The sequence below is a fragment of the Homo sapiens genome, chromosome 11 (genome assembly GCF_000001405.40).
Source record: "Homo sapiens chromosome 11, GRCh38.p14 Primary Assembly".
NCBI lineage: Eukaryota > Metazoa > Chordata > Mammalia > Primates > Hominidae > Homo > Homo sapiens.
In genome coordinates, this window is record NC_000011.10 from 15,432,289 (window position 1) to 15,449,711 (window position 17,423).

Here is a 17,423-nt window from a genome sequence, read left to right on the forward strand (position 1 = left end):
ATGTGGTGGCCACACTTAAAATCCCAGCATTTTGAGGTGGCTGGATTACCTGAGGTTCAGGAGTTCCAGACCAGCCTGACCAACATAGTGGCCAGTGAAACCCCATATCTACTAAAAATACAAAAATTAGCTGGGCATGGTGGTGCACACCTGTAATCCCAGCTACTCAGGAGGCTGAGGCACAAGAATTGTTTGAACCTGAGAGGCAGAAGTTGCAGTGAGTGAAGATCATGCCACTGCACTCCAGCCTGGGTGACAGAGTGAGACTCTGTCTGAAAATAATAATAATAATAATAATAATAATAATAATAATAACAATAAAGATGACAGATGTGGCACAAACACAAAGGTGATACAAGTATGATCAAGCATTAGGAAACACTGATCTGATACAATCTTCTGATTGTATGGCTCAGGCACAGGAGAAATGGAGAGGAAATTACCTTCTCAAGGTCACATGTCCCATTAGTATCATAACAGGAAACACAGGCCAAGTCTCCCAACACCCAATCCACGGTTCTGTCCACCATCCCAGGCTGTGTCCCTAAACTTAACAACAAAATGAAACAGATTGCCTGCCGCTCATGGCAGAGGCCGAGCCTAAAGTAAAAGGCCATTGTGCCCTGAGCTAAATGCCGACTTAAGGAGGATGACAAGACATTTGGAGATGTTAAACAATGCTATTTGTTTTCTGCTGCAAGTTTACTCTTTCTTTCCCCTTTTCTCCTGTCCTATTTAATCAAGGAAGCTGTTTTTTAGGTGTTCATTTCTGTAAGAAAGGGATGTGACTGTCCTTATTATTTAAACGACAGTGCTCTTAGGCGAAAGCAGAAGACTATGGGTATCGCAAAATGTTAGATAATCTGAGGGAAAACATTCTCCTTCTCGCCCACACACAACTAGGAATGCTTCTCCTGGTCTTGGGAGTGTTAAAAAAAAATGGAGGGAAAAGCTACATGTGTAAAGATGAGGATGGGTCATGGAGAAGGAGATTCTAGACTCTGATTCTCAGACCGAACCCCTGGCAAGCTAAGAATTCCGGGTGGGTTTATGGAATCTGAGAGCAGAGGGTCCCTGCTTCTCTGACAGAACTACAGGGAAGCAACAAGGTCACAGAGATGGAGCGCCTGCTTGGTGCACCTAGAGGGAGAAGGATGAGGAGAGCCTCAGACAGTCCTGAATAGCATGGCACCAAAGTAAAGGAGGGATTCGCCAATGAAGAGACCATGCAGGTGGGGATGGGGAATGGTTTGGCAGTGACCAGCAAGGAAAGACAGCAGAGGCCCAAATAAGATGAGGAGACGTTTGAATAAGTGTTAGACTATAGAAAACGAAGTTACATTTTCTACACCTGATTTGGTGGACTGAAATTCACATTAGATTTTAAAAAGTAGGAATAAGAGCATGGGTGCACTCGGAGTGCAGAGCAATTTAATAGCCGAATCCATGAAATGGCATTTGGATCAAATCTTAGAGGATGAATAGGATTCCAAAAGGCAGAAGGGCTGGGAAAGGAATGGACATGCAATAAACCAGGGCTTTATTTTTGGTAAAGCAAAGGAACAAGTCTCCTAAGAGAGGTGCAAACAAAATGCAGTAGGAGTTCAAAGGAAGGAGATTCTCACTGGAGAGGTGAGGGCTCTTTTCCGGGGAACGTATCATGTCACCCAGACTTGGACAGGTGAGTAGAGAAAACTCTGTGATTTTCAGTTCATCTTCTGAGGAGGAAGATGACTTCGTGATCAGGTTGCACAAATGATCCTGAGGTAATGGCCTAATGCTCCCCAGCTACTACCCCATTTTGTGGTCTGGGCAGAGAATGGATGATTCTGGACCTTGATCTGGGGATAGCTTATGAAACCATGATGTATAAGTACTTTCGAGTTCTACAAGCCAGGGCTCAAATCAGTGATCTCCCTGGGCCTCAGTTTTCTCATCCAAAGAATGGGAACAATAAGCTTACTTCATATGATTGTAGGGAAAATAGTAGATAATAGTAGACATAAAGCTTGGGACATGGTGTCTGGCATAGAGCAAGGTCCCAATAGCAATTGTTTTTCCCTGCTTTCCTCTGTGAGGAGAGAGACTGTCTTTTCTCACTTCTGTATCCCTCACTGTACCTAATATCATACCTTGTATGCAGAAGGGGCAATGAAGAATTTCTTGTTTTGACTTGCTCTGATTTAAAGAACATGTATAATTCAAAAACAAGCAAATAAAATCAGCATTGGTTGTATCACCAACTGTTAGATGAACAGATCAGAGAAAGTTTTCCATTAACCAGTGCAGTTTTTCTTTCTTTGGCTGTCAGTCAGCACAAAGGTAATCCCAGGAATCAAGGCACTGAAAAGTGAATTTCTGGCTGGACTGATCACAGCAACCCTGACATCATACAGCCACTGCTTTCCATAATCAATGCCAGAGCTTAGTTTATTCACCTTATGAGTCCCTTGTGAAATTCCAAATCCGGTACCTGGATGGTAACATTTCCCCTAATTGATGCATGTTTGCTCTTGGAAAAACATCCTGTTTGATTAATTTTGGGTTTGATTTTCCTCCTCCTGGTGCTATGATTTTCGTGGACAGAGTCATTCTTTTGATGCTTTGCATGTGGTGGAGGGAGATAGATGCACGGGCAGTGAGCTGGGTCCTAATGCTAGCTTTCTGACTTTGGGGAAACTTTTCTATAGGAAAAGACCCAGAAATGACAGCCGTGGTATATTTTGATGCAACATTTTCACCTAGTGTTAGGAAAGGAAGGAGAGTAACAATGAGCACTAGACAGTGGGCTAGATAAATTATATGCACAATTATGTAATCATTATGGGTTCTTTTTGTAACATGAGAAAACTGAGGCTCAGAGAAATAAAAATCACAGACTCAGTAAAGAATAGAGCTTTTGTTCAAGTTCCTTGTTCTTTCATCTCCATTATACTTTAAAAAAGTTAAACTAGAATAGGTTCATAAGAAAGTAGACTTATTTTTTAAAGAAAAGTGTCCATAATTCTACCATCACCCCTCATAGCATGTATCTTCTTGCTGTCTTGTTCCATTTGCATGTTTGTTTTTGGTACGGTTGAAATCATACAATTCATAGTATGACATAGCATGTCCTTAAATAAATATTTTCTTAGAAATAGCTTTACTGGAGTTCTCAGAAATGAAAATTTCATCTCCATTTATTGAACCCAAGAAAATAGTAAAGAACCCCTGGAGGGTCTAGATGGAGACCTGCCTCTTGGGTCTTAGTAGATCTGGGGAAGAAGAGGGTTTGCTTAATGATGACTACAGGATACAGAGAATCCCCTCACAGTGTAGTTATCCTGTCATGTGTCTTTCTGTCAAGGATTCCCAAATGGTAACTCCTTTTTGAATCTCTTCTCTGGATTTCTTGAGTAACCTGTTGAGTGCTATTTTCCTTTGTATGTTTATGTCTCAGCAAGAATGTCCAGTCTGTTTTTGAAGAGTTTTCCTCTTTATCTACGCTATACCAGAAAGCCCTGTGATTGTGGGCAAACAACTTAAAAGTTACTTAGCCTCAGTTTCCCTGTTCTAGACTAAAGGGCTAATAGCACCTATCTTAGAGAACACTCAGGAGAACTCAATAAGGTAATGTGGGCATTGTGCCTACAGCAATGCTCAAATGTGCTGCGAAGAGAAGATTAAATGCTCACTTTTGGTTTCCTAACAACTCAGGGAGCCCTAGGATACAAAGATCCCCATAGAAGGCAGGGGATGGGTCAGGTGCGGTGGCTCACGCCTGTAATCTCAGCCCTTTGGGAGGCCAAGGCAGACAGATCACCTGAGATCGGGGTTCGAGAGCAGCCTGGCCAACATGGTGAAACCCCATCTCTACTAAAAATACAAAAATTAGCTGGGCATAGTGGTGGGTGCCTGTGGTCCCAGCTACTTCGGAGGCTGAGGAAGGAGAATTGCTTGAACCCAGGAGTTCGAGGTTACAGTGAGCCAAGATCGCGCCACTGCACTCCAGCATATGCGACAACAGTGAAATTCTGTCTCAAAAAAAAAAGAAAAAAAAAAAGAAAAAAAGTCAGGGGATGAAGAGATAATAGGCATCTTGTCCCACAAAACGGCTGTTTTTATTTTGAAGGTGGGAGGAAAGAGAGATATAGTAGAGTCTCAGAAGATAGGTGCTTCAAATGCAGCACTGAGAGTAGTTCTTGAGGATTTGGAGTAGGACACCCAGGACTGGTTCTGCTGAGGCTAGGAAGCTGGGGTGAGACAAACAGATGGTCTTTGAACTTCCTGCTGCTGGGTACGTGGAATTTGGCTATGGGTGTACAGTAGAGAAGGGTTATGATGTGACAAAGCAGCTGGTCTTAAGAAACTGCAAGAAGGGCCAGAAAATAACCATATCGCTCCAAGAAGTCCCCAGACCCAGCTCTGGTAGGGGGAGAGAGTCTTGGGTATTTATCCAGCAGGCCCTTGGATTTGTCCAGCTTTGGAATGTGCTGGATAATGTTGATGCTTCAGAAAGATCCAATTTGGTGCTTTGGGATCCCAGCTCATCATTGCCCCAGTTCTTGTTCCTGCTGTGGTGCTCTTGGAGGTGTCATACTTCTCTGGCCACAGTGAGATTGCTTATAGGGTAAATAAATTAAACTCATCCAAGTTATCCAGGAGCTTAAGAAAAGAGGAAGTAACCAGGATTGAGATTATTTGGAACACTTACACTTATTTGGAATAAGCATAAGAATAAGAATAAGAAGTCCTGAAACTGAAGATAATACTCCTATCTACCTAAACCTAAACCTGCAGATTAGAAAGGGCTACTTGAAAGAGTGTGTAGAGAGCTTTGTAACTTCATCTTGAATGAGGACTGCAGCTTAATTGGGGAGGGAAAGTGGGGAAGGAAGGGCTATGAAACTCTGCCCACGGGGAGCTCACATTGCAATTTAAGAAGCCAATATTAGGGTTACCACATATCCTGATTTGTCCAGGCAGTCCCAATTTATGCTTCTTATCCCTGTGTACTTATTAATGGTGAGTTCTACTTTAAAAACTTTCTTGATTCAACAAATAAGTTAATGGTTACCCAGCTGATATCATTAAGATGGCATTGACAGATACCTATTTTGAAGGAATATGTATTTCAAAGTATTTTGAACATGTATTTTGAAATGCTGTAAGCATTTTGGATAAAAAAGTCATGCTTTTATGTAGGGAACGTCAGGATTCCTGGGAGAGGACTTGGCAGCATCTTAGGGAATGAGATAGCCCAGTGGTCAGGGCTTGTGTGGCATTTAACCAAAAAGGACTTGACCTTGTCTGATACAAGCTCATGCAGTTGATGCCCAGTACTGCTGGTGCTAGACCCTTATGATGAAGGATCTGACCCATAAGAACTCTGGCTTCCTGTGTGTTGGAGCCCCATTAATTCCATTGATGGTGTAGGAGACTGGCATATGTTGCTCTGCAGATACTCAGATTAATGCCTTATTCTTCATGTCTCAAACAAGTTAGCCAGAATATTGCAGTATGGGCTTAGGGGTGGTGGTAGTAATAAGAGGTGGGAGAAGGGATATGTTTATAGCCATTACTATTACTGGGCTAAACTGGGCCAGCAGATCTGTTCAAATCTCAAGTGATTTGGATCATTTATTTGTCTGGGACGCTGAGGACAGTCAGGGCTCCCATTTATTAGGGACAGAGGAGATAGCACAGTAAGCATTGTTTCACTTAATGCAAATCGAAAGTACCCAGGGGGGAAGTAAATATATTCTGTGGAACCAGAAAGGTCATGTCATGTTTTCTGAGAAGAAGTGGGGAGAGGGGAAGCAATAAGTCACATCTTTGCAAGGCAGGTCTGAGGAAGCATGAAGGGATAATGGATAATGGAAGAACCAAGCCCATTGTTGCTTTCCCTAATGTCCTTTTAGTCAGTCAATTGGCCTATCAATCAATCGACCAATCAATCCATCACTAAGCACACACTGAGGACCTACTATGGGCCAGCCACTAGGACAAGTAGAGAAGATATCCAAGTCACAGTTGCTCTCATCAATGAGCTCATTCTTCAGTTGGGAATATGAATAGGCTATGCCAGCCCTTGTCTTCCTCCACCGTTATTAACTACAGACTCAATCATGTGCAATCCCTGACCCGAAGTCTACTGGTCAGGCAGTATAAAAAAAGGCCCAGCTCCTCCAACAGGCAGGGAAAAAAATTAATTGTGCATTAATTGTGCAAAGAAGTTAATTGTACATCCAACAGCATGAGATCTGTTGTTCTTGGGGCTTACTCCAGACCTTTATTTTCCTTTTAATTGAAGGTGACTCCCAACCCCTGCTCATAGGACAGCTCAACCTCAGCTTCCATTCCAGCTTGACAGTACCTGTAGAGGCAATGTGATTTAAAGGACAATGTATAGTCTTTGGAGTCTAGTGGTCCTGGTTTGAATCCTGCCCCTGCCACTTTTTTTGTGTTGATTCAGTCACATAACCCTTTACTGCAAAAAAAGAGATGATGATATCCAGTTTAAAGATATTGTGAGGAATTAATGAAGTACTTGGCTGTACAACCTAATACAGAGAAGAGATTAAACTGATGGTAGCTATTAGCACTGTTGTTATTACTGGCAGTAGTAGTAATAGTATTAGTAGTAGATGCCAAAATCATTGTAGTTGTTTTTCCCACAAGGAATGAATTCCTGCCCTAGTGAATAAGGTCTGTTCCCAGGCCCATGGTTTTCCTGGATTCTTCTCGTTACAGTCAAGTATGTCTTCCCTGGCCATGACTTGATATCTTCTTACAAAGAGACCAATCAAAACATTAACGGTGCTCCTACTTGAGCATCAATACTGGCCCTAATCAATCCTGAATTTACTGTGTCTCCATGGACATTTTGTTCAAGGCTCGCCTGGATAACCCAACAAAGGACTGGCCTCCCAGTTGATATGGTTTTTCTAGAATAGTCCCACCTGGTTCTGGATTCTGCCCTCACTTACCTGTCCCTGCTGCCAAGACCCTTCTCTTCTTCATGACAAAGTCTATATAGGTTAGGACAAACAATTTCAGGAAATCATGTCAACTGCCAGGGCAGTGGCATAGAAGGTTGGTTTATGGCTACTTTTGGAATAAAGCTGGAGAGAAGCAGAATTCCCAAGGACTAGGGGTGGCTGAATGGAGGTTTGGAATAGTAATTCAAGGCAGGGTCCTGATGTGAGCAATGGCGTGGAAAGACAGCCACATATTTGGCCATACTGTGGTCAGAATATAGAGACATAGTCTAGCTAAAAGGTCTTGAAGATCAAACAGAAATGTTTGGATTTACTCCTTGACAAAGGAAGGATGTTAACTTTGGAAATCCATGGAATTTCCCAACACAGAGATGCTCTTAAATAATTTATCTTATAAGAATAGACTATTCCTGTAGCTTACTCTGAGCCAATTAGTTGGCTAGAGCACTTGCCTCATCTTTCCTGTCCTGTACGCTGTTTATTTCCTTTGGTCCCCATCATACCTGGTCAGCACTCTTCCTCTCTGCTATTTTTGCTCGACTTCTCTTGAATTTCTTCACTTTTTTCCCCTATAAAATCCATCCTTTACAAGAATAATCTCTATACATGCATAGACATCTATTTCATTTCTGTCCTCTTCTCCATCATGAACCATGATATTATGAAATATATATATATTTGGTCTTTGTCATCATTTCCTGACATGCAGCTTCTAAAACCCTTGTAGATAGGGATGATAAGAGAATCTTTTATTTTAACATTTGGTCTTTGACCCCCAGTTCCTGACACAGACTTCCTAAGACTTTTGTAATGTCCTGAGTGGTATGAGTGTCTTTTGTTCTAAAGAGACCACTCTTGGTGGGCTCCTGGATAGCCTCAGGATAAGGGCTGGTTGCCAGAGGAATCAACTATATAATTAGAGAGTTGGAAGTTTTAGTCCCACCCACGAGAGAGGGGAGAGGTTCTGAAGGTTGAGTTGATCACCAACGGTCAATGAGTCAATCAATCATGCCTATATAATGAAGCATCCCTAAAAACCCAAAAAGGCTGGGCTTAGGGAGCTTCCAGACAGCTGAACACTTGGAGGTTCCTGAAAGGTGGGATGCTCGGAGAGAGCATGGGAGCTTCAGGCCCCTTCCAACATACCTTGCTGTATGTATCTCTTCCATCTGGCTGTTCTTTATCATAAATGAGTCCTATGAGCCACCAAAACAAATTAACTGAGACTGAGGAAGGGGTTGTGGAAACCCCTGATTTATAGGCTATTGGTCAGAAGCATGGTGAAAACCTACTAGTTGTGACTGGCATCTGAAGTGAGGGACAGTCTTGTGAGACTGTGTGTTCTGAAGCTATCCTCAGGTAGATAGTATCAGAATCAAATTGAATCAGAGGACATCCAGCTGGTGTCTGCTGGAGAACTGCTTGCTTGGTATGTGGGGAAACACTCCCGCACATCTGGTGTCAGAAATGTTGAGTTGTGTGAGAATACAGAGTAGGGAAAACACTTTGGTTTTGTTTTTTCCTATTGTAAGATAAACTTTTATAGGTAGGCTTTTCTTCTCTTTCTGTGAATCAGAGAAGTCAGACACAGTTGATGAAAATTCGATATTATCTTTGCTTTCTGTACAGAAATGCAACTTTTCTTGATTGAATTCTCAGGTTTATATTATGACTACATCATGTTCTCAGTGAGTAAGGAAAATTTGTTTTGATTATTTTAGGAAAGATTTCATTCAACTTTACAAATATATTGCATTTTTCAACATCAGAAACTAGAGAATTAGATGGGCTGCAATTTTGATAAAATTATGTTGGCCCCACTAAAGATTTTTGAACCACAAGTCCTGGATCCTCATCCTTCAATCTAACTCTAGACAAAAATAAGTTTGAATTTGCTTCTGAAGTGACCATAACTTCCGAATGCCAAATCAGGATATGAATTCTAAAAGAAAAGACCTTGTTTTAACTGTTTTTTAGTTATTGTTCTTAAAAATCAAATTGTATTTAATTAAATACTTTATGATATTTCTTTACCAAAATATATTAATTCCTATATGAAATTGAAGACCTCCTGGGAAATTCTTCCTCAAGGTTACTGGACTTTGCCTATACTCCTGAACACTTGTTATTCTTTCTCTGACTATGCCCTGTTAGAATCCTTTGAAGCTTTTTCCCTGGTCTCCTTCTATCTTCATGCCACTCTTAAACTATAATAGGGTTTTACCCTTTGTAGCTGCAGGTTCCACATTTACAGATTCAACAAACTAAGAATAAAAAACGAGTCAGACAAAAAATAACAACAAATAACAATACAACAATAAAAAATAATACAAATAAAAAACACCACAGTATAACACCTATTTACATAGCATTTACACTGTATTCGTTATCATAAGTAATCTAGAGATGATTTAAAGTATACAGGAGGATACACATAGGTGCTGTACAAATAGGACACTATTTGATATAAGGGACTTGAGCAAATACTGGCCACTGGGTACTAGAGCTGCCACCCCTGGGTGCAGTCACCATGAATGTCTTGTATCTGCTTGGGGCTGCTGGAAAGGTGCCCTGGAACCAATCTCCCATGGATACCAAGGGATGACTATACAATGTTGACATGTGGCTTCAATTACCAGCTATTTACTGATATAAGGCTCATTTATCTTTTTTTTTCATAATTTTCCTGTATCCTAACACCTTTCCACTGGAGGGCCATTCCATAGTGTAATTCTTCATCTTGATAAGATACAACTTTCTATTTCTGCAGGAGAAGATGGATGGGAACAGTACAGGGTGCTGCATTGTGCAACTCCAGGGGATACATTCTCATCACAATTTGTATGAATAGCTGTACACTGCATAATTCTAGGAAGCACAAGTTTTACTGTGGTCTCTGATTAGGTGACCTCTGTGAAGCTCCTGGACATGCTATTTATGTGCACTCTAAATTAGAGCAGTTCTGTGGCTCTGGGCAGATACTTCATCTCACTGTTTCCTGGAAGTTAGGATATGGGTGTGTGACTTCCACTTGGCCAATCACATGCTCTCACTTAATAGTTTAAATCTCAACAAACGAATGCAAAGATGCAAGGCAGTGATGAAAAAGGCATTGCGTGGTGGCTGTACCCAGTGGTGGCAGCACTAGTACCCAGTGGCCAGTAGCAGAAACAGAGTCTAGTGGCAGTGTTGTCTAGCAGTGGTGGTAACAGTGGCAGATGTGCCAGTAGTGTTATCTTAACAAGAGTGATACTGAAGCATCTGGGATGTGACTCCTGCTGCTGGTCTCCTCAACTACCTGCCTATTGAGCAAGACCAATTCTAAAGCCTTTCTTTGGATTCTGTGCCCTATCTGGTATGCTTTCAATGAGTTGCTTTGCTGCTTAAATCAAATATAATTGGTTTGCAATTGAGAAACTCATTACAGAAATTGGTAACAGAAAGAGGCATATGTGGGTATATTTGTTTTCTGTTGCGGCACAACAAATTCCTACAAACTTAGCAGATTCAAGCAACACATATTTATTACCTCTCAGTTTCTGTAGATCAAAAGTCTGTGAGCATAGGTTAGCTGGGTTCTTTGCTTCACGGTCTCATTAGGCTGCAATGCAGGTGTTAGCCAGGATTTTACATATATATATATAACATAATAATTATATATTATATATATGTGTGTGTGTATGTATATATATGTGTGTGTGTATATATATATATGTATTTTGAAGAGTCACAGGGAAGATAACCAAATTCAAGATTATTCTTATAGGTTGTGGAGTTCTACCAATTGAATATGGATCAGTTCTTGTGTCACAGTTAAGGTGCTAATCAGGAAGAATTGAGACTCTAAAAGTTGGAGGGGGGGATATGTGGGAGGATTCAGAAAACTTGGAATTTCCCTTGATATCCATTTGTCTCTGTCTCCCCCTAGCCCACTAGGCATCCTTTTATCCTTGTCTGATGAGACTATTTTATCTCTACTTTCAGATCTTGAAAGAGGAATCAAGTTGTCCTCTTGGACTACATCTTCGGTTGTAGAAACATAACTAGAGTTAGCTCTTCATATAGTTCCAGGGTCCAATTACAAATCAAACCTCATAAAGAAGATTTACCCTACAAAGAAATTAAAGTGCAAGATATCTTCTCATAATGAATCTGTCTCCCATTTTTCTCACTTCCCCTGACTTATTAAGATTTTAAAATATAACAACGCCTGGTGGTGGTGAGAGTGTGAGTGAACAGGCTTTTTCATATACAGGGAAGGGGTGTTTAAATTTGCATAAACTTTCTTGATAATTTGGTAAAATGCATCAGACAACTTAAAAATGTTTATACCCTTTGAATTAGTAATTCCATTTCTAAAAATAAATCCTAAGGATATAATAATGCAAATGTGTAGAGATTTAGCTACAATAATGTTCATCATAATATTAAAATAGCAGAAAATTAGATAAACCTAAATTTCCAACAGAAAGAGATTAGTTGAATAAATTTTGGTATATCTATGCAATGGAAATTCTTTACAGCTATTAAAACATTATGTTATGGAAGAATATTTATTGGTAGGGAAAGATGATCATTATACTTTTAAGGTAATTCAACAGGTTATAATATAATATGCACAGTATGATTTCTTATATTTGTTTGTGTGTCTGTACATGTGGATGAGACATAAATAAGCTTGAACATATTCACACCAAAATGTTCACAGTGGTTATTCTCAAGGAAGATATTATGAGTAATTTGTATTTTCTCCTTTTCTTTTTTTATGTTAATTTGTAATCTTTCCAGGGAAAAATTGCAACTACCCAAAGTCTCATTCTCCTGGAGAGATGATCAAACTGTTCTTACTCTTATATAAGAATGGTGGAAAGAGAGCCTTTGTGATGATTATTTTATCTAAGATGCTTATTTCACAGATGAGGAATCCCACAAAGGGATTCCTACAGCAAGTCAGAATGGATGGAAGAAGTAAATTCCAGAACCCCTGTGATTTAACTGGAGTTTCCTTCTCTCAAAGCTGTCTCCTGAAATAACAAAAGGACTAACAGAGAATTTTGGCTTGTTGCTTTCTAAGTATGCTTTTAGAATGTAGCTGTCAGAAGAGATACTTCAGGAACTGTGACGGTGGGCACAGGGGTAGGTGAAACACTGTCCACTTTGATTGCCTAAACTGAGCTGCATTGAAAGCAGTTCTGCTTGCCATGTTTTATTATTTTGTTTTGTTTTCATTGTGGACATAGTGTTCTTTTCCTTCCCTTAGTTAATATGATCCCCAACTGGTATCAGTCAGGATTCTTTTGTTGGAAGTATTGGTAAATCTAACTTAAAATGGCTTATAAAGTAGGAATTTATTTGCTTTTATAGTTATGAAGTCAAATAGGGGGCAAGCTTCAGGGATGGTTCAATCAGATTATCAGTTTGGTTTCTCTAATATATTCTAAGCTCTTTTCTTCTCCATTTATTGTCTTCTTCCTCTGCCTGGCTTTCCTTATGATTATTTTTTTAGTTATATACAGGGAGCAACAATTCATGTTCCCCCTCCCCATTCCCCACAAAACCATCAAATTGAATTCCTCATATTTGCTCTGATTAGAATATTCCAGAGCCAATCACTGTAGTTACTGAAATATTATGCGCTATTCAGCTTAGTCATCACTGTGTCAAAGGGCGGGTGAGGGTACCTTGATTGGCTTAGTAGACCAGTCTACTGCCACAGGCCAAATTCACCCTGCTGCCTGTTTTTGTAAATAAAGTTTTATTAGAACACACCCAGAGTCTTTTGATTTACTTATTGCCTATGGCTGCTTTCATGGTACAACAGAGTTGAGTAGTTGCAACCATCTGGCTCACAAAGCCTAAAATATTTACTCCCTGGTCCTTTTTGGAAAAGTTTGCTGATCCTTGGTCCATGTTTCTCCCCTAGTAGTCAATCCTGCCCAAAGCTTAAAGTTGCTGCAGAACAGGAAGAATGGATGTAGTAGGGAAAACTCTACAATCCATTAGAAAAATTCCTTTTCTGACAGTCCAATTCAGACAAATCCTTCAAGTTCACCTGGTACTACCTTTTCTCACTACCATAGAGAGGGCTGTGTTCCAAAGACCTCTCTCACTCTGTAATCCTAGTTGGCATTAATTTGCTGCCAGCAAGTCCCTACCCTACTTTACCTCCATCCCATCCCTTAGCCCAGTGTTATCCTTTTCTCTGGGTCTTCTGCTATACTGGGTTGCTCTGCTCAAGTGCCAAGAAATCCTTGCTGAAAATAAGGCAAACACAGCTGGGGTTACCCAGTCTTCCCTTTGTGCAGGGTGGCTCCATGGACACCCAATTACCCTAAATATTCCAGTTGAGTTTTCTCTGCCAAGTTTACATCCATTTTCTTGCCAATGCTTTCATCACATTCGAATACTATTTTCTTCTCCAAAATCAATGTGTTTGCTCTCTTTGGGAGGTAACTTAGGATAATGACTAACATTGGTAGTATACTAGGCTAAGGATATATATGCGATATCTCTTAATCTTCACAAAACTCTAAGAGGTAAGTTTTATTTATAGACACCCATTTTAGAGATAAAGAAATCAAGGCCTAGCTAGGTTCAATACTTTTTTCTGTAGTCATCATTTAGTAAGAGATGGAACAGATTTGAACCCAGGTCTGACTGAATCCAGAGTGCCAAGTACTTAACTTCTAAACCATATGCCTCTTCTTGTTTCTATCACAAAAGCAACTGTCTCTAAAACATTTATCTGAATCCTGTCTAGTTCTTTTTCCCGTTTTTTCAGTTCTTCAAGGAACCTTGTAAACTAGATTCACAACCATCCCATCCTCTCCGGGTTGGTTCTGATATTGTCTTCTCAACAAGGTTCAAGAGTTTTCAGGTGAGTAGGTTAATCTTCTTCTTCTTCTTCTTCTTCTTCTTTTTTTTTAAGCTAGAACTAGAATATGCCCTTGGAGACCTTAATTTATATGCAACCAAATGAGGGAGAAACAGTTGACCAGAGGCAGACTTAGGGCAATTGAACAACAGGTCCCCAGTGTCTTTCCTTGCTCACATCCAATATTCCCATCTTCTAGCAGGAGAGAGGTTCTCATTCCAGTGGGTCCTTTGTAGGAGTCCAGCATTCAGCACACAGGCAGGTGGCTGAGGCAATTCAGCCACGGCTTCTCCTTACCCTTAAACCAGCGGTTTACATGAAACCTAGGAAAGTGAAGCTCAGAGAAGATAAATCTTGCTTCATGTGCTGTGTGCTAGTGATAGAACAGGAAAGCAGGATCACGTGATGATTAAAAGCTTGGGTGTTGAGGTCAGATGCATACGTGAATTCCAGTTTTGCCACTCTCTGGCTATGGAAACTGTCAAGGTACCTCAATTCTCTAGGTCTCACTTTCCATATCTTTAAAGTGGTGATTGTAGTAATACCTACCATATGGGGTTATTGGGAAGACCTAGTCAGGTAAAGCACATAGTCTTTCACATAAATGCCAGACAGGTAATAAGTGCTTATTAAATGCCAGCTACAATTAGAGCCCAAGTGTCCTCCCCTGCCATGGATGGCTCTTTCCACTTCATGGGCACTGTCGTTGGTTGAGGTCATCCACGCTTCTCATTTTCCTCCTTAGGTTCACCATGAGGTACAGCCTTGTACCACCCCCCAGTGTCTCCTTGAATTTGCTGGCCTTGCGTCTGAGCTCAGTCTGGGATTCTGATGACACCAGTTGCCCAGCATGGCTTCCATTAACTGTAAGCATTTGTCCTCTCCTCCTTCAGAAACACTCTGTGCCCTGGAAAATGAATGTCAAAACACCAGACCTGTTGCAAAGGGCTTTTTCTTCCCCTCACTTAAGAGTCCTCAGAGGTCAAAAGAAAATAGATTTAAATGTTTCCCAGTCAAATGCAGCCCTCACAGGGCTCTACAATGGACCCACGGTAGGAGCTTTTTACACCTTCCCCAGCCGCCAGCTGCAAATTGATCTAATATTGACTTCCCTGGGGTTTGCCTCAAGTCATTGTAGTCAAGAATAGCAGAGTGCATCTTCCATTAGTTGTGATTAGTGGTTAAAGCTACTTTTTTTTTCTTCCTTCGAAGGTGGAGGAAATAGGAGTTTCTCTTTGGAGAAGAGAACTGAGTGGAACATTCACTCTGCGTCTTTTTCCCCTGGGTTTGCCAGTTGTGATTGATGAAGTCAGCTTTCAATAAAACCTGTAACTGAACGGACAAATATCTAAAAATAAGTTCAAAGAGAAATAGAGAGAAGAAAAGGCTTTGACCATAAATCATTCATAGGATTCCTCACATGAGCAGAATAGAAACAAGACTGCCACATTCTCAGAATCACAGACCGCCACAGCCATAGACGAGAGCTCCTCTCTGGACTTGGAGAGGAAGGCCCGGCTGGGTGCGTAGGTCTCCTGACTCCCAGGTTGGAATCTTGGCTTGTATCCGCTGTACTGGCTCTACCACCCTGGAGACTATCAGCCTTACATGTACCACTTTTATTTTCTCAAGCTGTTTCCCTCTCTGTAAATCGAGCATTGATCTCCCTGCATTATTTGAAAAATTATTGAAAACACTGAAAACATAAATGGAAATGTGCCTGTGAGAAAGTGGCACCAGCACTTCATAGATTGACAGCAGATGTGTGTTGAATCTAGATAAAGTATACTTTTCTATTTTTGGCAGTGGAGGGGATTATCTGACATTTTGAATTACAGTACCCCCCACCCCAAGCCCGCCCAACCCTGCTTATCTATGGGTTTGCTCTATCACAGGTTTTAGTTATCCGTGGTACAGTACAGTAAGGTATTTTAAGAGAGACCACATTCATGTAACTTTATTACAGTATATGGTTAGAATTGTTCTATTTTATTATTAGTTATTGCTGTTAATCTCCTACTGTGCCTAATTTATAAATTAAACTTTATCATAGCCATGTATGTATAGGGAAAAGAAACATAGTATATGTTTCTTTGGTAGTATTCAAGGTTTCAGCCATCCCCCGGGGGTCTTGGAACGTACCTCCCTTGGATAAGGGGAGTGACTATCTCTCCTCTCTATTAAATTTATCTTCATTTCCTTTTTTTTTTTTTTTGAGACAGAGTCTTGCTCTGTCTCCCAGGCTGGAGTGCAGTGGCATGATCTTGGCTCACTGCAGCCTCCGCCTCCTGGGTTCAAGTGATTCTCCTGCCTCAGCCTCCTGATTAGCTGGGATTACCGGCACGTACCACCATGCCTGGCTGATTTTTGTATTTTTAGTAGACACGGGGTTTCACCATGTTGGCCAGGATGGTCTCCAATTCCTGACCTCATGACCTGCCCACCTTGGCCTCCCAAAATGCCAGGGATTACAGGTGTGAGCCACTGTACCCGGCCATTTTCCTAATTGGATTTGAAGCACTCACAGGTGCTTAGAACACTTGTAGATTGTTTTGAGTCCACTGGGTTATTGACTCTTTTTTGTTCAGTGCCCACAGCTGACCTTATGTGTGTTATGGCCTGTATATCTTTTAAGTGGTCATGTATAACATGTACTGGCTGGATCAGAGGAGGTAAAATATACCTTTTGACACTAGGATTTTCTTTTTCTATTCTTTTCTTTTTCTTTCTTTTTCTTTCTTTCTTTCTTTCTTTCTTCCTTCCTTTCTTTCTTTCTTTCTTTCTTTCTTTCTTTCTTTCTTTCTTTCTTTCTTTCTTTCTTTCCTTTTTTTTTTTTTTTGGCAATTTGAAGAGAACTGCACTGTCTCCCAGACTGTCTTGCTCTGTCACCCACACTGGAGTACAGCGGCACAATCATGGCTCACTGCAGCCTCAACCTCCTGGGATCAAGAGATTCTCCCACCTCAGCTTACCTGCTAGCTGGGACTATAGGCATGTACCACCATGGCTGACTAATTTTTGCATTTTTTGTAGAGACAGGGTTTCACCATGCTGCCCAGGCTGGTCTGGAACTCCTGGGCTCAAGCAATCCACTGACCTGGGCCTCCCTAAGTGCTGGGATTACAGGTGTGAGCCATAGCACCCAGCCCACACTAGGATTTTCTACAGTCCAGGTTTCCTTTCCCAAAACTGTGTAAGGCGAGTAGAGCAGATATCATTCTCACCTACATTTTTCAGGAATGAAACTTGAGATTTAGAAATTTTATTAACTTGTCTATGTCACAGAGTAATTGAATGGAAAAGCCAAAGACTAAAGCTTGAGTTTCTTGAGTACCTTTCCAGGGTTATTTCTACCATCAGTGGATCAGGGAACAGCAGCTTATGTAAAAACCATCACTAGCCCATGATCTGTAGCTCTACTCTGCATCTAATTGCCAATGGACAAGTCAAGGGAAAGATTGATTGTCAAAATGAAACGTATTTGTAAACAGGCTGGTTAATTAGGTTAATGGAACTTAATGTGGGGATGACATTTTACAGTTTCTAAAATGCTTTCATATGCACTATCT

At 40.8% G+C, this 17,423-nt stretch overlaps 4 annotated features.

The window, feature by feature from the left end:
- Positions 1,061–1,227: a silencer, noted in NCBI's record as "fragment chr11:15454895-15455061 (GRCh37/hg19 assembly coordinates)". NCBI's record gives its function as "represses an EF-1alpha promoter that drives an FKBP-Casp9 reporter gene in an ReSE screen in phorbol 12-myristate 13-acetate-treated (for megakaryocytic differentiation) K562 erythroleukemia cells {active_cell/tissue: K562(+PMA)}" and the evidence as "EXISTENCE:reporter gene assay evidence [ECO:0000049][PMID:32094911]".
- Positions 14,108–15,307: an enhancer, noted in NCBI's record as "CDK7 strongly-dependent group 2 enhancer chr11:15467942-15469141 (GRCh37/hg19 assembly coordinates)". NCBI's record gives its function as "activates an origin of replication core promoter dependent on BRD2, BRD4, P300/CBP, MED14 and CDK7 cofactors, with strong dependence on CDK7, by STARR-seq in HCT116 cells {active_cell/tissue: HCT116}" and the evidence as "EXISTENCE:reporter gene assay evidence [ECO:0000049][PMID:35650434]".
- Positions 14,549–15,115: an enhancer, noted in NCBI's record as "NANOG hESC enhancer chr11:15468383-15468949 (GRCh37/hg19 assembly coordinates)". NCBI's record gives its function as "activates a minimal SCP1, AML or CMV promoter by ChIP-STARR-seq in naive H9 embryonic stem cells {active_cell/tissue: H9 hESC(naive)}" and the evidence as "EXISTENCE:reporter gene assay evidence [ECO:0000049][PMID:30033119]".
- Positions 14,735–15,029: a silencer, noted in NCBI's record as "tiled region #1355; HepG2 Repressive non-DNase unmatched - State 24:Quies, and K562 Repressive non-DNase unmatched - State 7:EnhWF". NCBI's record gives its function as "represses a minimal TATA promoter and a strong SV40 promoter by Sharpr-MPRA in HepG2 and K562 cells {active_cell/tissue: HepG2 | K562}" and the evidence as "EXISTENCE:reporter gene assay evidence [ECO:0000049][PMID:27701403]".